Source organism: Homo sapiens, chromosome 9 (genome assembly GCF_000001405.40).
Source record: "Homo sapiens chromosome 9, GRCh38.p14 Primary Assembly".
NCBI lineage: Eukaryota > Metazoa > Chordata > Mammalia > Primates > Hominidae > Homo > Homo sapiens.
In genome coordinates this window covers 35,053,775-35,072,691 of record NC_000009.12, presented here as the reverse complement: position 1 = coordinate 35,072,691, position 18,917 = coordinate 35,053,775, and the positions used below count along the sequence as shown (strand labels likewise).

General features: G+C 46.8%; 1 protein-coding gene across 3 annotated transcripts, besides 1 other annotated feature; it reads left to right on the top strand.

Annotated features, from left to right (window-relative positions):
* Window positions 67-16,628, top strand: VCP (valosin containing protein). 3 transcript variants are annotated; one of them, NM_007126.5, is made up of 17 exons: window positions 67-355; window positions 4,330-4,441; window positions 4,629-4,801; window positions 5,875-6,017; window positions 7,311-7,441; window positions 8,407-8,538; window positions 9,612-9,714; window positions 10,342-10,475; window positions 10,554-10,689; window positions 11,003-11,115; window positions 11,513-11,677; window positions 11,769-11,891; window positions 12,167-12,379; window positions 12,891-13,199; window positions 13,473-13,628; window positions 15,162-15,316; window positions 15,470-16,628. In NM_007126.5, exons 1-17 carry the CDS (start codon window positions 339-341, stop codon window positions 15,573-15,575), a joined length of 2,421 nt encoding a protein of 806 aa, NP_009057.1. In that variant the 5' UTR covers window positions 67-338; the 3' UTR covers window positions 15,576-16,628. The 3 variants fall into 3 exon arrangements, with proteins under 3 accessions (NP_009057.1, NP_001341856.1, NP_001341857.1); NM_001354927.2 differs by having other exon boundaries at window positions 67-415; NM_001354928.2 differs by having other exon boundaries at window positions 67-935.
* Window positions 360-989: a silencer, noted in NCBI's record as "silent region_19859". NCBI's record gives its function as "represses an Ori minimal core promoter by ATAC-STARR-seq in GM12878 lymphoblastoid cells {active_cell/tissue: GM12878}" and the evidence as "EXISTENCE:reporter gene assay evidence [ECO:0000049][PMID:35858748]".

Sequence of the window (18,917 nt, the reverse complement as noted above, 5' to 3'; positions counted from 1 at the left end):
AGGGCAGGCGCTGATTGGCTGAGGTGGGAGCAGCTTCCCTTCCGATGATTCGGCTCTTCTCGGCTCAGTCTCAGCGAAGCGTCTGCGACCGTCGTTTGAGTCGTCGCTGCCGCTGCCGCTGCCACTGCCACTGCCACCTCGCGGATCAGGAGCCAGCGTTGTTCGCCCGACGCCTCGCTGCCGGTGGGAGGAAGCGAGAGGGAAGCCGCTTGCGGGTTTGTCGCCGCTGCTCGCCCACCGCCTGGAAGAGCCGAGCCCCGGCCCAGTCGGTCGCTTGCCACCGCTCGTAGCCGTTACCCGCGGGCCGCCACAGCCGCCGGCCGGGAGAGGCGCGCGCCATGGCTTCTGGAGCCGAGTGAGTGTGCGCGCGCCGTTCGCTTGCTGCGGCGGCGCGCACCGGGACCAGCCGCGCAGGGTAGGCCCGGCGGGGCCTGGCCGTGGGCGCGTCAGAGAGGTGGAGACCAGGAAAGAGGGAAGGGAAGCTAGGGGGCGAGTGAGGGGCCGTGGACCCGGCAGGCCCGGCTGGGGCCAGCTGCGCACCCGCGCGCCCCCTAGGCGGGGCTTGCGTTGGGTCCGGGTCGGAGCCTGGGCCGGATCGTGCTGTGTCATGCAGGCCCCGGCCCGCCCGATTGGCTCCCTTAGAACGGACGTCTGGGCCTGGCCAGGTCTTCCGGCCCACTCCGCCGGCGCGGCGCCCCGGGGCTTTGGGGCGCCAGTCTGCCGTCCGGCCTACCACCCGCCGAAAGCCTTTGGTCCCCGGAGAGAGCAGGCCCCGCGAGCCCGAGGCCCCAGCCGGGCCCGGTGGGCGTGGACTTTGCGCCATGTGAAGGCCTCAGGAGCTCTGCCACCGAGGCGGAGCCCGGGGTCGGGGAAGGCCCGCCGAGCTCAGGGAAGCTCACAGCCGCCTTTTTGGAGCCGGGTCGGCGGGGCCGGAGGTGGGCATCCTCTGTGTGTGACCTGAGTCGTGAAGGACTGTTAGGGAGAGGGCGAGCCCTACCTTTCGCTTCTGGTCTTCTTACTTTAGGCCTGTTGTTCATACTAGAAAGTTTGAGCCAGTTTTCCTTAATGTTATGACTCGTGGGTGGGGAGAAAGGAATTTTTCTTTAACATTTTAGGTTCTTGCTAAAGTTGGAATCTCAGTTCGTGTTTTGTGCGCCTTTCCAGATTTCCAGGTTTCGTGGTGTGCAGTTTAGAGTTGCACTAACTCTTCAAAAACACAAACGTGCGCGCACTCCTTTCCCCAACCAGCTATATTGAGAAATTACCCGGGCTCTGGGGCTTTCTGACCCCACCTCCATCCTTAGGAAAGCGTTAGATAAAACTTGGCTACCTCAGCCCATTCAATTTAGAATAGAGAGCTTTTAGAGGCAAAAAAAAAAAAAAAAAAAAAAAAAAAAACACAGCCAGCCCAAGGAAACTCTATGCAAATTACCTTCCTTCCTTGAAGAGATTAGTTTTTTGAGGTGTGTTCCTTTTTCTCAAGTTTCTGAATTCGGATAAAGTATTACTCAGTTGCTTATTTAAAAGAGTCACTTATTCTGAAAGTATTCTTTTGGTTTATATGCAGTCAGCCTCTTATTTTCAAAAGTAAAAATCTAAAATTCTTGGAACCTGGCATCATCAGCTGTTTCTAACCTCTTGGTCACCTTGATGACTCTTAGCTGAAACCCTTCCAAGTCCCGTGGAGTCCCCTGTGCAGTTCTGGAAAGGGATTGACTTATACAGAAGACAATGGAGGATTGCCCCAAAGAGTGTCCAGAACTGCTGTTGGCCCATGGTCAGGCCAAATTCAGTCTTTTAGAGATTACCACATCTGATCTCAGTAGGTAGATGGGGAATTAGAGGCTTTACCTTAAGAAAAGGGCATACCACTCATCTCCAGAGCCAGAGTCCGGGATGGTAGGCAGAATGGAGGTTTTCCTAGGATACAGCTTTGAGATTAAAATACAAACTATTGACCGGGCACAGTGGCTCAGGCCTGTAATCCCAGCATTTTGGGAGGCCGAGGCAGGCAGATCACTTGAGGTCAGGAGTTTGAGACCAGCCCGGGCAACATGGAGAAACCCCATCTCTATTAAAATGCAAAAAGTAGCCAGGCATGGTGATGGTGCACACCTGTAGTCCCAGCCACTCTGGAGGCTGAGACAGGAGAATCACTTGAACCCAGGGAGGCAGAGATTGCAGTGAGGGAGATCGCGCCACTGCACTCCAGCCTGGGCAACAGAGGGAGACTCCGTTTCAAAAAATAAAAAACTATGGTGACTAGAGGCATCTGGCGTTTTATTTTTCTCCAGTCCCAGTTCTATAAGTCAAGCAAGAAGATGGGCAGTCCCTGGAAGAGTATTTTGATGGGACAGGAGTGGGAGAGCTCGTGGGTTTACATTGCTCTCAACTGTCACATTGAGCATGCTTGGCCTCTAGTGTGTTGATAAGCATTGGAAGAGTCTGCCTACTCAGCAGCATTGTGCCTGGAGTGGCAGACTTTTGGAATGGGGGAAGCAAATTTGAGCAGAGGAAACTGTCGTTAGAAACTAGTTTAGAGGCAGTGGTTAAAAATGCAGCCTATGTGTGAGGGTTAGCAGAAGGCCTACCATTTTGTTAGATGAATGGGGTTTGTTTTTCTCTTGGGTGTATCAGGACCCAAAGATGTAAGAACCCCATGGCTTCCTAGCTGAGCACAGCATTTTTCTTTGTCTCTTGCAAATTGTGAGGATATTTCCAATGGGAATACTATTTTGTCTTGTTTTGTTGACTTCAGTATCCCCAGCCCTTAGAACAATGCCTGGTACATAATAGAGACTCATGAATTTGTTGAATGAAGAAATTCGTTTTAAAAATTTATTTTCTTTGCTTCCTTCATTGTCTGGCCTTCCTACTTTGGTTAATGCTTATGTTTTCCTGAGCCTTACTAACACGAGGCCGCTCTTAAAAAAGAGAGAGCGCTGGGTGCTGTGGCTCACGCCTGTAATCCCAGTACTTTGGGAGGCCGAGGTGGGCAGATCACCTGAGGTCAGGAGTTCGAGACCAGCCTGACCACCATGGTGAAACCCCATCTCTAGTAAAAATGCAAAATTAGCCAGGTGTGGTGGCGCATGCCTGTAATCCCAGCTACTCGGGAGGCTGAGGCAGGAGAATCACTTGAACCCGGGAGGTGGAGGTTGCAGTTAGCTGAGATCGCAGCATTGCATTCCAGCCTGGACAACAAAAGCGAAACTCCATCTCAAAAAAAAAAAAAAAAAAAAAAAAAGGGAGAGGGAGCTTGCTGAGTCTAGTAAGTGACAGCTGGAAACGGGCTAGGTAATAAGTTGGTGTCACTGTCTGGTGAATGATCCTAGCTTCTAGGAAATAACACTGAGTGTAGACCCAGTCGACTTTGATTTGGGTGAGAGGGATTTGGATTTGCCCCATGTCTCAGCATTTCTTGGTTTTGATTTTTTGAGCCAACTTTATGGAATTGTGTACTTTTGCAGATATTACTGTGAAGTTCCTTTTGACCTTGAGCCTCTTTCTGGCGGTTTGATGTCTGTTAGTGTTTTTTCCAAATATGATGGTCTTTATGCTTGGCATTCCTTTGGTACTATGGAATGCCCTGGCATCAGTAGGTTTAGCCTATAAGGAGGGTAGCACCAATGATTCTGCTTCGTTGTCCCCAGGCTTGCTTGGTAGAACTTAAGGCCTCCCTGAGCCTCAAGGGAGGTTGTCTGGCTTACTTAATTCCCTGGAAAGTTAGCTTATGCTTTACTCTATACTGTTAATCATGGTGACCATTAATACCATGTGCCAGGTATTATGTTAAGCATTTTACATTCATTATCTCCCTTAAGACAATAAGCCTCTGAGATAAGTATTATATTCCTTCTTTTATAGAGGAGGACATCAAAGTTCAGAGGTTAGGTAACTTGCCCAAGATCACAATTAAGCAGTGGCATAATTGGAATTCAGACCCAATGGGTCTGACTATAGAGTTCCTGCTCTTAACCACTCTTCTGTAAGTCTAAGACTATTTTTATTTCTCTAACAACTATTCAGCCTCCATTTCTATTATGTCTTCTTCTTAGGCCATTATTTTCTGACCCTGGGGCAGGATCACTCACTTGGGGCCTTATAGCTGGGACACTGACGCTCAAAATACCAGGAGCTGCTGGAATGGGTATTGTAATATGTATGGTAGATACTGCTCCTCGTGACCTTGGCTGCCTTTCCTTCATCTGAGCTTTCTGGTCTAGGGACAGCTTCATCTATTCACTGTTTCTTTCCTAAGTATGAGTTTTAGAGACTGGCGAGGCGCTTGGGGCAGGAGTATCTACTGACTCCATTTCCTCCTTCTAGTTCAAAAGGTGATGACCTATCAACAGCCATTCTCAAACAGAAGAACCGTCCCAATCGGTTAATTGTTGATGAAGCCATCAATGAGGACAACAGTGTGGTGTCCTTGTCCCAGGTAAGCTGTGGCCACAGACTAGTCTTTCCTTACTGCACTTACTTGAGGGATTTTCCCAGGTTTCTTTTCTCATTTTTCTTGCAGTGACTGCAGATAGAGTGGGGTTTACTGGGAATCCCAATCTCCAGGGCTGCTGCTTACTCCCCGTCAGCCCAATGACCCAAAGGCCTTAACTTTCTTTCCTCAGCCCAAGATGGATGAATTGCAGTTGTTCCGAGGTGACACAGTGTTGCTGAAAGGAAAGAAGAGACGAGAAGCTGTTTGCATCGTCCTTTCTGATGATACTTGTTCTGATGAGAAGATTCGGATGAATAGAGTTGTTCGGAATAACCTTCGTGTACGCCTAGGGGATGTCATCAGGTGTGTGTGGGGTTTTTGGCTTCACAGGGATGGGAGGCCAGAGATAGCCTGCATTACAGGCAGGACCCATGTATTACAGGCAGGACCAAGTTCTTGGCACCTGTCGATGCAGGAAGCCTCCTGGTCATGGGAAGACTTATGCTTCAGGGTTGTCTTTAGGTTTTGGTTCTGCCTCCCTGGGACTTCAAAATCCATTTCTGCAGGTCCCTTGAGACAAATTGGCGTTCCTGTAACTTTCTTGATGGCTTTATTTTTTCCTACTAGAGGTGTAATTTATCATACTTATATCCTGGCTTAGGATACCACTCGAGGGTGTGTATGTATATGCCAAATAATCTCCTCACTACTCTCACTAGTATGTCTAATTGATGGCTTGTGTTGGGGTTGGAATGAGGTGGGGGTATGGGCATGGAAGGTGAGCTGCTAGCAGGTCTTTTAAGCCCCTAAGTTAACCCGGGAGAGAGGAATAGTTGGAGCCAGACCTGGGATAGCTCTCAATGTGAGTGATTTTGCTTGTTCTTGCATAATTTTAGGCAAGAGGTTACCCCATCTTGGAGTCATCTCTAGCCACTCCTACCCAACCAACCATCACCTGGCCAGGATCATCTCAGGCTTTTGATTCTTTTGAATGGAGTCTAAGTTTCATGTAGCTTTCTTCTTGGGAGTGCTTAGTCACTTCCTCAAGGTGTTCTGACCACCTGGCTGAGATAATTTTGTTTTTTTCACTTCTGTTTCACTGACCCTGACAATTGTTAGCTTAAGACCTTCCCTTGTAATATTGGGTCACCAGTATTAGCTAGAAGGGGATCATCCTTGGATATCTCCCTGAAGACCCTGCATGTCTTTGTGGGGTTTCTAAATGTGTGGCTCTTGATTTTGGCTCACTGATTAGGAGTGAGTGGGGCTGTTCCTTCGCCCTCACTTCCACCCTGTTCTCCTTCCTCTCTTCGCCTAAAGCCATCCTGCCTTTTCTTTTTCACTTACTATCAGCTATCTGTGCCAGGCCCTTTTGGACACCCAGTGCTTGGGCCCGAAGTGTGGTTGGTAATATGGAGTCTGCTTGTCATCCTCAGCATCCAGCCATGCCCTGATGTGAAGTACGGCAAACGTATCCATGTGCTGCCCATTGATGACACAGTGGAAGGCATTACTGGTAATCTCTTCGAGGTATACCTTAAGCCGTACTTCCTGGAAGCGTATCGACCCATCCGGAAAGGTGAGAGCTAATTCTGAGCTTAAGGATTATTGACTGTAGGGAATAAACCTTGGAACATCTTTATCTCATTTTCTTTTTCTTTTTTTTTTTTTAAATCTTTTATGCTTTTCCCCTGTATTTATTTATTCATTTTTTAAGAGATGGGGTCAGCTGGGCACCGTGGCTCACACCTATAATCCCAGCAATTTGGGAGGCTGAGGCGGGTGGATCACTTGAGGCCAGGAGTTTGAGACCAGCCTGGCCAACATGGCGAAACCCCATCGTGGGCACCTGTAATCCCAGCTACCTGGGAGGCTGAGGCATGAGAATTGCTTGAACCCAAGAGGTGGAGGTTGCAGTGAGCCAAGATTGGGCCACAGTACTGCAGCCTGGGTGACAGAGCAAGACTCTGTCTCAAAAAAAAAAAAAAAGAGACAGGGTCTCACTATGATGCCCAGGCTGGTCTCAAACTGCTGGGCTCAAGTGATCCATCTGCCATGGCCTCCCAAAGTGCTGGGATTACAGGCATGAGCCATCAAGCCTAGTCTCATTTTCTTTTCTTTTTTTTTTGAGACAGAGTGTCGCGCTGTCCCCCAGGCTGGAGCGCAGTGGTGCAATCTCGGCTCACTGCAACCTCCGCCTCCTGGGTTCAAGCAATTCTCCTGCCTCAGCCTCCCAAGTAGCTGGGATTACAGGCGTCTGCCACCACGCCCGGCTAATTTTTGTGTTTTTAGTAGAGACGGGGTTTCACCATGTTGGTCAGGCTCGTCTCGAACTCTTGACCTCAGGTGAGCCACTGTGCCCGGCCGCTAGACTCATTTTCATATATTTGTATACACACACATGCAAACCCTGCACACATATTCATATGTCTTACCCTCTTTTTTTCCTCCATCCTTCCTTTGCTCCATCTCTCCCCTTCTCTGTTCCAGGAGAGTAAGCTATCTTTATGGATCTCTGAAGGAGAAAGTGGTCCATTTTGGCTGGGTCAGGGTCCAGAGTGCACAGTTCTACCATTGGTGGTTGTAGTGAAAACTTGGGCTACCTATATGGCAGAAGTCAGAACTTGATGGGCTTCTGACATGTCAGGTTTTGTTCACTGACCTCTTGTCAGAGGGACTCTTCACAGTTTACCTTTCTCATCTTGCCTGCTGCTTATTAAGACAGGTGGGGTGGAGTTGGGGAGAGGTAGGGCAATATCTAATGAAGGGCACTATCTAATGAGCTTGGCATTTTGACCCCAGGGTCTGATGAGTTCTCACTTTGTCTTGTAGTTGACACCTCTAACTGTGCTTGTACTGTTTGCTCTCGCAGGAGACATTTTTCTTGTCCGTGGTGGGATGCGTGCTGTGGAGTTCAAAGTGGTGGAAACAGATCCTAGCCCTTATTGCATTGTTGCTCCAGACACAGTGATCCACTGCGAAGGGGAGCCTATCAAACGAGAGGTGAGTTTTCTCCCTGATTCCAGTATCCGATTTTATGATTACTCAGTGTGGCATCATGTGGTAACTGTCAGGACTGGGTGCTCGGCCGGCTGCGGTGGCTGACACCTGTAATCCCAGTACTTTGGGAGACTGAGATGGGCAGATCACTTGAGGTCAGGTGTTCAAGACCAGCCTGGGCAACATGGTGAAATCCCATCTCTACTAAAAATACAAAAATTAGCCAGGCATGGTGGTACACATCTGTAATCCCAGCTACTCAGGAGGCTGAGGCAGGAGAATCGGTTGAACCCAGGAGTCGGAGGTTGCAGTGAGCTGAGATTGTGCCACTGCACTCCAGCCTGGGTGACAGAGTGAGACTCTGTCTCAAAAAAGAAAAAGACTGGGTGTTCTTTGGAGAACTAACCATCTTTCAGGGATGAGAAACCTGCCAGCTATTCATTTCTGGGCCTAATTGTTTCTTGGATTTACCTAATGCCAGGAATTTCAAAAAACTAGACTGAACCCAAAATATATAAGTGATTGAAATCATTTTTGAAGTAAAGCTGATGGTGGCTTCAGGCCTCTGCCCATTCCCAGGGTTTCCAGCTTCAGATTTTAGAGACCCCTTCTCAGTAAGACTACGAGTAATGTGAGAGGCAAGGACTGTGCTAGAAATCTTTGCCTTGGGATTTTTGTAGTTGTTCTTTGAGGCCGGATCCCTTTAGAGGAGAATCTTTTTTAAATTTAATTTAATTTTTAATGAGATGGAGTCTTGCTGTATTGCCCAGGAACTCCTGGACTCAAGCATTCCTCCCACCTCTGCCTCCCAAAGTGCTGGGATTACAGATGTGAGCCACCATGCCGGGTTGAGAATCTTCTTATACGGTAGGTTTTTGCACACTAGGTAGTGGAATGATTTAGAGAAACTCAGCTTTTGCTGATATAATATTCTTGCCTTCTCCTTTCTTTATCTCCTCCATATTCAGGATGAGGAAGAGTCCTTGAATGAAGTAGGGTATGATGACATTGGTGGCTGCAGGAAGCAGCTAGCTCAGATAAAGGAGATGGTGGAACTGCCCCTGAGACATCCTGCCCTCTTTAAGGCAATTGGTGTGAAGGTGAGCATCCTGGGCTCTGGAATCAAGTCTAAAGTGGTGCCAATGTCTAATCCTGTCCCAATGTCTAATCCTGGGACTGTTTTCATGCATGGCTTTCATTATTGCCTTGGATTAGAGGGGCAATAACGTATCCTTTAGTTTACCTAAGGCTCTAAATTCATTAGAGCTGATGGTCTAAAACCAGAGTAGGCTAATCAAATTGTCTGTTGTGTGCGTGTGCGCACAAAACACACACACATATATATATGGGTTTTTCTTTACAACTCTTAGAATATAAAAGCCATTCTTGTATCAATGGACCCTGTAAAAACAAATCTCACCATAGTTTGCCAGCCTGTCTAGAGCAATGTCACCCAGTAGAAGTAAGGAAGTTAAGGAAATTTTCAGAGTGTTAAAGGGTTCTGAGTCTAAAACATTTGAGAACTATTGGTCTAGAGTGTAGCTTCTCAATCTTTTCCTAGTGGGAAAGTGTTTCCATGGAACACACTGAAGATGAAGTTACTCATTTTCCTAGTGGGTGGCACACAAATAATTTCATTTTCTATGTGGACAGTTTACATGTTCTGCTTGTGGATGAGGCCATAGAAAGGGTAGTGTTGAAGAAGAAAAATGATGATTGTAAGGAACAGCATTCCAGTGTGATAAATTCTGGAGGGCATGATTACTGGAGTGAGTGATCCTCTGGCAATGAAGAAAATAGACCCTGCTCTCTTAAATGGCTTAGCTAGTCTTTGGCCCTTGGTCTGTCTAAAATTGAGCCCTTAGTGTAATGGCCTCTTGCCTTTCCCTAGTCATGTATCTTCAAACGCATTTGGACTACAGTTTCTCTGCCCTTAGTCTCCTATGCAAGTTGCAATCATAAATGTTGCCCACTTTCTAGCAGTATTTTCCCTGCTAGTAATAGAAATGAGTGTGGCCTAAAGTAATTGTCTTCTTAGCATTTACTGCGGAGGGCTTATTCTTAATATTGTCAGGGTTGAAGCCTGATTCTCACCCTCTCTGGAGCGCTAGTCAAGCCATTTTAGGGTTTGGGAGAAGGTGGGAACCTAATCACACTCTGCATTGGTCCACAGCCTCCTAGAGGAATCCTGCTTTACGGACCTCCTGGAACAGGAAAGACCCTGATTGCTCGAGCTGTAGCAAATGAGACTGGAGCCTTCTTCTTCTTGATCAATGGTGAGATATTTGGTTCATCTTATGTCTAGCTAGACCCAATTTTGAACTGGGCTTATGAGCTGGAGCACTTATGAACACATCCTTTTTGCACCCATGCCCTCCTTCATGTTTATAGCATATTTCTTATGCTGGGGTATGTTACAGACAGAAGAGCAATAAAGGGAAGATATTTTACATTGGTGCTCCCTGTCCTGCCCCCTTTGAGAAAGATTGTGGACAGACTGCAGAGCGGGAGCAAGCTAGAATGAGAAATCAAAGGGTGAATGGTTAGTGATTTGAGAGGGTTTGGGGCAAATGAACTTTGATCACTGGCTCTTGGAGAATGCTGTTTAGTGGTGTGCCATCTGGTGTGCCATCTCTCTTGCTCTAGCCAGAGGTCCTAGAGCATTTGCTGTCACCTTTACAGTTCAACTGTGAGAAGAGTATAGTGAGTCCCTGGGCTTCTCTCCAGCCTTGCCTGGTGGCTGTCCTGGGATAATGGCTGGTAGAGGATGTGAGAAGTAGGCAGAGGTTACCACCTTCTCACCCAGGACCTGTCTCTGGGCCAAACAAGCAAGATAACTGATTTTTGGGAGGAATTGGGAAAGACTATCATTTTGTTATTGTCTCCATTCTGTATCCTTTCAGGTCCTGAGATCATGAGCAAATTGGCTGGTGAGTCTGAGAGCAACCTTCGTAAAGCCTTTGAGGAGGCTGAGAAGAATGCTCCTGCCATCATCTTCATTGATGAGCTAGATGCCATCGCTCCCAAAAGAGAGAAAGTAGGAGCTTACCTGAGGGGATAGAGGGGGGTTGAAAGGCCCTGACTTCACTTCTGACCAGACATCCTGTTCTGGCAGACTCATGGCGAGGTGGAGCGGCGCATTGTATCACAGTTGTTGACCCTCATGGATGGCCTAAAGCAGAGGGCACATGTGATTGTTATGGCAGCAACCAACAGACCCAACAGCATTGACCCAGCTCTACGGCGATTTGGTAAGGACTCCAGATACTTTTGACCCCGTCCTTGCTTAGGTCCTACTTCTCTCCTTCATCTAAGTCACCTAATCCTCTTGAAGCCCTTCACAGTGATTGGGTCCAGGGGTCTTTTTCCTTTACCCTACGTCCTGTCTAGAGTGACCAACCACCCTGGTTTTCCTGAGACTGAAAGGTTTCCCAGAGCTTGAGACTTTTTTAGTGCTGGCATTAGGACAATCCTGTGCTGGCTGAGATGGTTGGTCACCCTAGGCCTGTCTCTTACCTCTGGACTAGAGATGAGCCCTGTTTATGTTTGTGTACTGTCCCACAGGTCGCTTTGACAGGGAGGTAGATATTGGAATTCCTGATGCTACAGGACGCTTAGAGATTCTTCAGATCCATACCAAGAACATGAAGCTGGCAGATGATGTGGACCTGGAACAGGTGAAGTGATGATGATGGCTGACCAGGCGTTACAGTGTCTCTAGGCAGTTGCTGGGAACTGGCTAGAGACATAAGGTTAAGATGTGAGGAGATGGGTTTTGATTTCTGGACAGGGGAAAGGAAGTAATCTGAGATTGAATCCAGGAAATGGGAGTTGGCATTTTTCATAGTTGACGCTGCATTTAGAGTAAATCAGAATTGTTGGAGCAGCCTTATTTCTAGGTCCCAAGTCCAGAATTAAGTACTTAAAACCCAGCCCATAAAGGTATTGATAGTATATATTCAAGGAAATGAGAGGACCCAGGGATAGCAGTCAGGGGAAGGATTCTATTGTCTCTGAGCCTCCTGCAGCAGCTGGGTCTTTGAGGCAGCATAGTAAGTAGATCTTTCTCTGCAGGTAGCCAATGAGACTCACGGGCATGTGGGTGCTGACTTAGCAGCCCTGTGCTCAGAGGCTGCTCTGCAAGCCATCCGCAAGAAGATGGATCTCATTGACCTAGAGGATGAGACCATTGATGCCGAGGTCATGAACTCTCTAGCAGTTACTATGGATGACTTCCGGGTAAGGACCACACCCGTGCCTCAGGTACACACATACGTGCTTTGACCCCTCCCTTGATAAGTCTCATCCCCAGTTTTCCCTCCTTTTCTAGTGGGCCTTGAGCCAGAGTAACCCATCAGCACTGCGGGAAACCGTGGTAGAGGTGCCACAGGTAACCTGGGAAGACATCGGGGGCCTAGAGGATGTCAAACGTGAGCTACAGGAGCTGGTCCAGGTAGGGCAACTTGGTCCAGGGTGAGTCACTGTCTCAGTACATTGTAATTGATCTGGGTGATCTCAGGGTGTCAACACATTTGCTGCAAGAGTTGTGAGAGCACGACTTAGGAACCTACTGTTCTTAGGTTTGAGGCACTAAGGAGTCTTCTTCTAGAGAACCTGGATCTGATACCATTGGGTACACCATGAAATAATGGAGGGGATGCTTCTGTTTAGTTAGGTTTCTTTCAAAATGTGGAGGTAGCCTTGAACCCTCTTTCCTTTTCCTCCTAGTATCCTGTGGAGCACCCAGACAAATTCCTGAAGTTTGGCATGACACCTTCCAAGGGAGTTCTGTTCTATGGACCTCCTGGCTGTGGGAAAACTTTGTTGGCCAAAGCCATTGCTAATGAATGCCAGGCCAACTTCATCTCCATCAAGGGTCCTGAGCTGCTCACCATGTGGTTTGGGGAGTCTGAGGCCAATGTCAGAGAAATCTTTGACAAGGTGAGCTACAATAGGCTGAACTATGTATTGATTTGCCTGAGGGCAAGGAATAGAGGCTGTTTTTCTTTAAGAGGGTTGAAATATTCTTAGTGCTGGCTGCTCAACTGCACAGTAAGTCACTTGATTTTCTTTCTGAGGTCTGAGAGACCTAGTGTTATTTTTTTTTTCTCTCTCTCTCTCTTGAGACAGGGTCTGGCTCTGTTGCCCAGGTTGGAGGGCAGTGGTACAGTCATGGCTCACTGTAACCTTGAAACCTGGGCTTAAGCAATTCTCCTACTTCAGCCTCCTGAGTAGCTGGGACTATAGGCATGCGTCACCACATCTGGCTAATTTTTTATTTTTTGTAGAGACAAAGTCTCAGTATGTTGCCCATGCTGGTTTCGGATTTCTGGCCTCAAGTGATCCTCCCACCTTGGCCTCCCAAAGTGCTGGGAATACAGGTGTGAGCCACCACGTTTGCCTAGAGACATCTAGTTTTGTTAGTGCTTGAATCAATCCATTCCTCCTACAGGCCCGCCAAGCTGCCCCCTGTGTGCTATTCTTTGATGAGCTGGATTCGATTGCCAAGGCTCGTGGAGGTAACATTGGAGATGGTGGTGGGGCTGCTGACCGAGTCATCAACCAGATCCTGACAGAAATGGATGGCATGTCCACAAAAAAAAATGTGTTCATCATTGGCGCTACCAACCGGCCTGACATCATTGATCCTGCCATCCTCAGACCTGGCCGTCTTGATCAGCTCATCTACATCCCACTTCCTGATGAGAAGTCCCGTGTTGCCATCCTCAAGGCTAACCTGCGCAAGTCCCCAGTTGCCAAGGCAGGTGCAAGATCATGGGCTGTGGGAGACTTGCATGAGTCCTCAGGCTGGTACGGAGTGCTCTTTAGTTTCTGGACAAGATTCCACTGGGGTTAGGGTTGGTCTAAAGGGAAGGTAGAATTTTTGAGGATATCAAGATAATCTAGAATCAGGAATAAAATGGGGTGGCCAAAGAAGGGGCAAACTGTAGTTGGGAGTGCTCGGGTAGCCCAAAGATCTGCGTATCTCGAGAGGAGAGGCTAAATGCTAAGGTACCTCTGCTGCTGCTTTTAGGATGTGGACTTGGAGTTCCTGGCTAAAATGACTAATGGCTTCTCTGGAGCTGACCTGACAGAGATTTGCCAGCGTGCTTGCAAGCTGGCCATCCGTGAATCCATCGAGAGTGAGATTAGGCGAGAACGAGAGAGGCAGACAAACCCATCAGCCATGGTGAGTCTGCATCCTTTCCCCAGATGTGCCAATCATGGAGAGCCAGGCAGCAGCCACCACCATGCCCTGGAGTTGAGAGTAGAAGCTGTTGGAAAGATCATCTAACTGAGAAGAATTTTAATAGGGCATCAAAGATAAAGAATGCTGAGGTGAATCCATTCAATTTGGAATAAGGCCGAGAAGAGATGGTCAGGCTCCATTCTCAGTCTGAACCAAGCTCCATGAGGGAAATCAAAGTATGAGAGTGCAGCAAACACAGCAAGGTTTTTTTTGTTTTTTGTTTTTTGTTTTTTTTTTGAGACGAAGTCTCACTCTGTTGCCCAGACTGGAGTGCAGTGGCACGATCTTGGCTCACTGCAACTTCTGCCTCCCAGGTTCAAGCGATTCTCCTGCCTCAGCCTCCCGAGTAGCTGGGACTACAGGCACATGCCACCATGTCCGGCTAGTTTTTTGTATTTTTTTTTTAGTAGAAACGTGGTTTCACCACGTTAGCCAGGATGGTCTCGATCTCCTGACCTTGTGATGTGCCCACCTCGGCCTCCCAAAGTGCTGGGATTACAGGCGTGAACCACAGAGCAAGGTTTTGAGCTGAGATGAGACTCATATACTTATCCCTGATGGTTGGGGAAGGGATAGGGTCCACAGACCTCCCAAAATGAAAAGGCAAATTCATGTGTTTGTAAGTTCCATAAAGGTAAGATCTCTGTCATCTCACTTGTTTTCCACTATGTCTTGTGTTACCCTTAATTAATTCATTAAGTTCCAAACATGGGACTTAATGAGCAAATAAATGGCTTTCTTTCCCTTTTGAAGGGTCTGTGACATCCCTTCTCTCTCCCATAAAAGCTTAACAACTACTGATGAACTAATCCTAGGAGGTAGTCACATAAGTCACAGAAATTGGCCTCTCAATGGAAGAGATAGGTTTTGAGCTGGGCTGTGAAGAGAGTAGAATTTGAATAAAGGGAATAAGCAGCCCAAATAATGTGCTCTAGTAGTAGGATTGCAATCATTGGGAAACCCTGGGTAGATTTAAGAGTATATATGTCACTGGAAGTGAGACCGCTAGGTAGGATGTAATCCAAATGTGGTAAGCACTGAAAGCCATTGGCATTTCCTTTTAAAGTATTAAGGTTTATTAAGGTATGATATAAATACAATAAAATTCACTCTTTCTATATACCATTTCCATGCTTTATGACAAGTGTGTGTAAGTTCTATAACTACTACCACAGTTGAGACTTAAAATTTCTACTATCTCAAAAAGTTTCCTTAGCCACTTCAGTCAACATCTCCCCTCCTTAAGCCCCATCACTGATGTGATTTCTGTCCCTACAGTTTTCCCTTTTCCAGAGTGCATTGACAAGTTTTTAAGCAGAGCAGTGACTCAATTTTAGGAAGCATGGCCTAGCATCTTACCTCAGGTTGGATTGGAAGGGCAAGGAGACCAATAAACTGCAGTAATGGGAGGCCTGGGATGAAATCCAGGCTGGGCTTTAACTAGCCCTAGTGATCTGTGTTTACCAACTATAGGAGGTAGAAGAGGATGATCCAGTGCCTGAGATCCGTCGAGATCACTTTGAAGAAGCCATGCGCTTTGCGCGCCGTTCTGTCAGTGACAATGACATTCGGAAGTATGAGATGTTTGCCCAGACCCTTCAGCAGAGTCGGGGCTTTGGCAGCTTCAGGTAAGTTGGTTGGGAGCATTAGACAGTGCTTAAGTTACTTTGGGGACCTACACCAAAAGGGATGGGAGTCCTAAGGAAGCTAGAGGGGTAGTTGTGGAAATCTTACACAGGCCCTGTCCTAACCCTCTTTTTTGGCTTTGCTCTTGTACACAGATTCCCTTCAGGGAACCAGGGTGGAGCTGGCCCCAGTCAGGGCAGTGGAGGCGGCACAGGTGGCAGTGTATACACAGAAGACAATGATGATGACCTGTATGGCTAAGTGGTGGTGGCCAGCGTGCAGTGAGCTGGCCTGCCTGGACCTTGTTCCCTGGGGGTGGGGGCGCTTGCCCAGGAGAGGGACCAGGGGTGCGCCCACAGCCTGCTCCATTCTCCAGTCTGAACAGTTCAGCTACAGTCTGACTCTGGACAGGGGGTTTCTGTTGCAAAAATACAAAACAAAAGCGATAAAATAAAAGCGATTTTCATTTGGTAGGCGGAGAGTGAATTACCAACAGGGAATTGGGCCTTGGGCCTATGCCATTTCTGTTGTAGTTTGGGGCAGTGCAGGGGACCTGTGTGGGGTGTGAACCAAGGCACTACTGCCACCTGCCACAGTAAAGCATCTGCACTTGACTCAATGCTGCCCGAGCCCTCCCTTCCCCCTATCCAACCTGGGTAGGTGGGTAGGGGCCACAGTTGCTGGATGTTTATATAGAGAGTAGGTTGATTTATTTTACATGCTTTTGAGTTAATGTTGGAAAACTAATCACAAGCAGTTTCTAAACCAAAAAATGACATGTTGTAAAAGGACAATAAACGTTGGGTCAAAATGGAGCCTGAGTCCTGGGCCCTGTGCCTGCTTCTTTTCCTGGGAACAGCCTTGGGCTACCCACCACTCCCAAGGCATTCTTCCAAATGTGAAATCCTGGAAGTAAGATTGCACCTTCTTCCTCTCCTGATCAACATCGGTATGATGTCTCCTGTTGCCTCACCCTTTGTCTGCAGTATCACTGGATAGGACTGGTGGAAAGGGAGCAGCCTGACAGAGCTCCAAATGTGGAGAATATGGCATCCCTCCACCTATATTTGATGTGGACGGTAAGGCTAGGCCTGCAGGATCCCTTATCCTGACCAAAGACTGTGTTGGGGTGCCATTTGAAAATCGCAGGGTTGCAAAAGAATACAATCTTACTTGCAGGTGGATATTCTCTATACTCTCTTTTAATGCATCTAAAAATCCCAAACATCCCCTGGTTGGTGATCACTTACAGTTGTGTCCACCTTTATTTTATGTACTTTGATTAAAAAAAAAAAACTTTTTGTTAATATAAAATTTTAGTATTGAATTTTTTTTTTTTCCAAACAGAAAATAGACTATCCTCTTCAACAGTAATCACTTAGTGCTTCTAGGGTCAGTACAGTGATGCCTTACCCAGAGAGAGAGTAGTGCAGAGAAAATAAATTACTAAATTAAATATATGTTGATTGGCTTTGGGACATAATCTCAAAAGACAGTCCTGAACACCGTAATTTTGAATAAAATACTGTAATCTCCAAAGATCAAAATCCCTAAAGTCTAAAATTCTGAAAATCACAATCCCAAAAGGTCAAAATCCCAAAATACAATTCTGGAAGAAATACTAAACATTCTTCGAAAATTTACTTACATTTTTAAAAGCGTATTTATTTGAGAAACAACACAACAGAACGTTTCATAGGCCACTACACGATAAAATAGGGAATAGTAACATTTTTGCAAGATAAACACTCAGGTATACCAATGACAGTTGCACGGATATAACGGTGATGAGCAGATGAAACATTCATAAAGAAATAGGTCAAAAAGTGAAATGTATAAATGCTTTGTCACTATGCTTGGTAATTGTGGGCACCTAGCTTTATATAACTGGTCATCTGTAATACTGTGACAGAAAACCTAAGTCTTGATGAGATGGTTCAAAAACTGTTGCGTTACCACTGCATTGTCTCCCAAAGAGACGAGGTCTTGAGAAATTTTATCCTTCACAAATGCACGTGTACAAAAAACAGATGTCTCTTCGTTTATTGAGGAACTTTCAACATTTTTATGCACACATATAATGCTTACACACAGAGTCAACATTGCGGTCATGGAGTCAAATTTTTAATGTCCAAGGCACCAGAAGAAAAATCTGTCCTAGGCTGGGCATGGTGGCTCATGCCTGTAATCCCAGCACTTTGGGATGCTGAGGCGGGCAGATCACCTGAGGTCGGGAGCTCAAGACCAGCCTGACCAAAATGGAGAAACCCCATCTCTACTACAAATACAAAATTAGCCAGGCGTGGTGGCGCTTGCCTGTACTCCCAGCTACTTGGGAGGCTGAGGCAGAGAATAGCTTGAACCCGGGAGGCGGAGGTTGTCGTGAGCTGAGATGGAGCCATTGCACTCCAGCCTGGGCAACAAGAGCAAAACTCAATCTTAAAAAAGAAGAAAAATCTATCCTACCTCTTAGAGACCAATTTGCCTTCTGTATTTGTTCTCTCTGGGCCCCCGCCTGTTGGATGGTACCCACCAACATTGAAGGCAGATCTTCCCCACTCAGTCCACTCAGACTTACAAACTAATCCCCGGAAACAACCTCACAGACACACCCAGATAATGCTTTACCAGGTTTCTAAATACTCCTTAATCCAGTAAAATTGACACCTAAAATTAAGTCCACAATTCTGCTCATTGGCAACTTGGCACCCTTATGTGTCTAAACCATACTTAAGACAATAACAAGGTAATACTTCTGTATAACATGATGCAACTGTCTTGTTTACAACGAAAAACATACTAATCCTTTCCCCAGAATTTGAAATTTTATTTTGTCCAGGTTGTGATTTTAAGGATTTTGATCTTTTGGGACTTCAACATTTGGGGTTATGGTGTTTGGGATTGTGTCCTTCAGGATTATGATCAACACTGGTATTAGTCATCCTAGACTTTATGCTAGGCAAGACCAGGCTCCGTTTTGGTCTACATAGATAATCTTCAAGGATGCATGATACTTACACTGGTTGACTAAACTGGAGCAGCTCTGGAACTCATGCTGTGAAATGGGTATTTTTGCACTTTTGGTATTTGTTATTTCAGGAGGTTTTTAGGGAACAGGTGGTGGTTGGTTACGTGAATAAGTTCTTTAGTGGTGATTTCTAAGATTTTGGTGCACCTGTCATCTGAGCGGTGTACACCGTACCCAATGTGTAGTCTTTTATCCCTCACCGCCCCCCCACCTTTTCCCTGAGTCCCCAGAGTCCGTTGTATCATTCTTACGCCTTTGCATTCTCATAGCTTAGCTCCCATGTACGAGTGAGAACGTATGATGTTTGGTTTTCCATTCCTGAGTGAGTTCACTTAGAATAATGGTATTCCAGTTGCTGCAAATGCCATTATTTCGTTCCTTCTTATGGCTGAGTAGTATTCCCTGGATGTATATATACCACAATTTCTTTCTTTTTTTTTTTTTTTTTGAGATGGAGTCTCCCGTTGTCTCCCAGGCTGGAGTGCAGTGGCATAATCTCAGCTCACTGCAACCTCTGCCTCCCTAGTTCAAGCCGTCCTCCTGCCTCAGCCTCCCATGTAGCTGGGATTACAGGC

What these genes read in the sequence shown, in the direction of transcription:
- VCP (NM_007126.5), top strand. An exon ending in GTGTGGTGTCCTTGTCCCAG is followed by an intron (nt 4,442 to 4,628) that starts GTAAGCTGTGGC and finishes TTCTTTCCTCAG; the next exon opens with CCCAAGATGGATGAATTGCA. An exon ending in TCAGAGAAATCTTTGACAAG is followed by an intron (nt 12,380 to 12,890) that starts GTGAGCTACAAT and finishes TTCCTCCTACAG; the next exon opens with GCCCGCCAAGCTGCCCCCTG.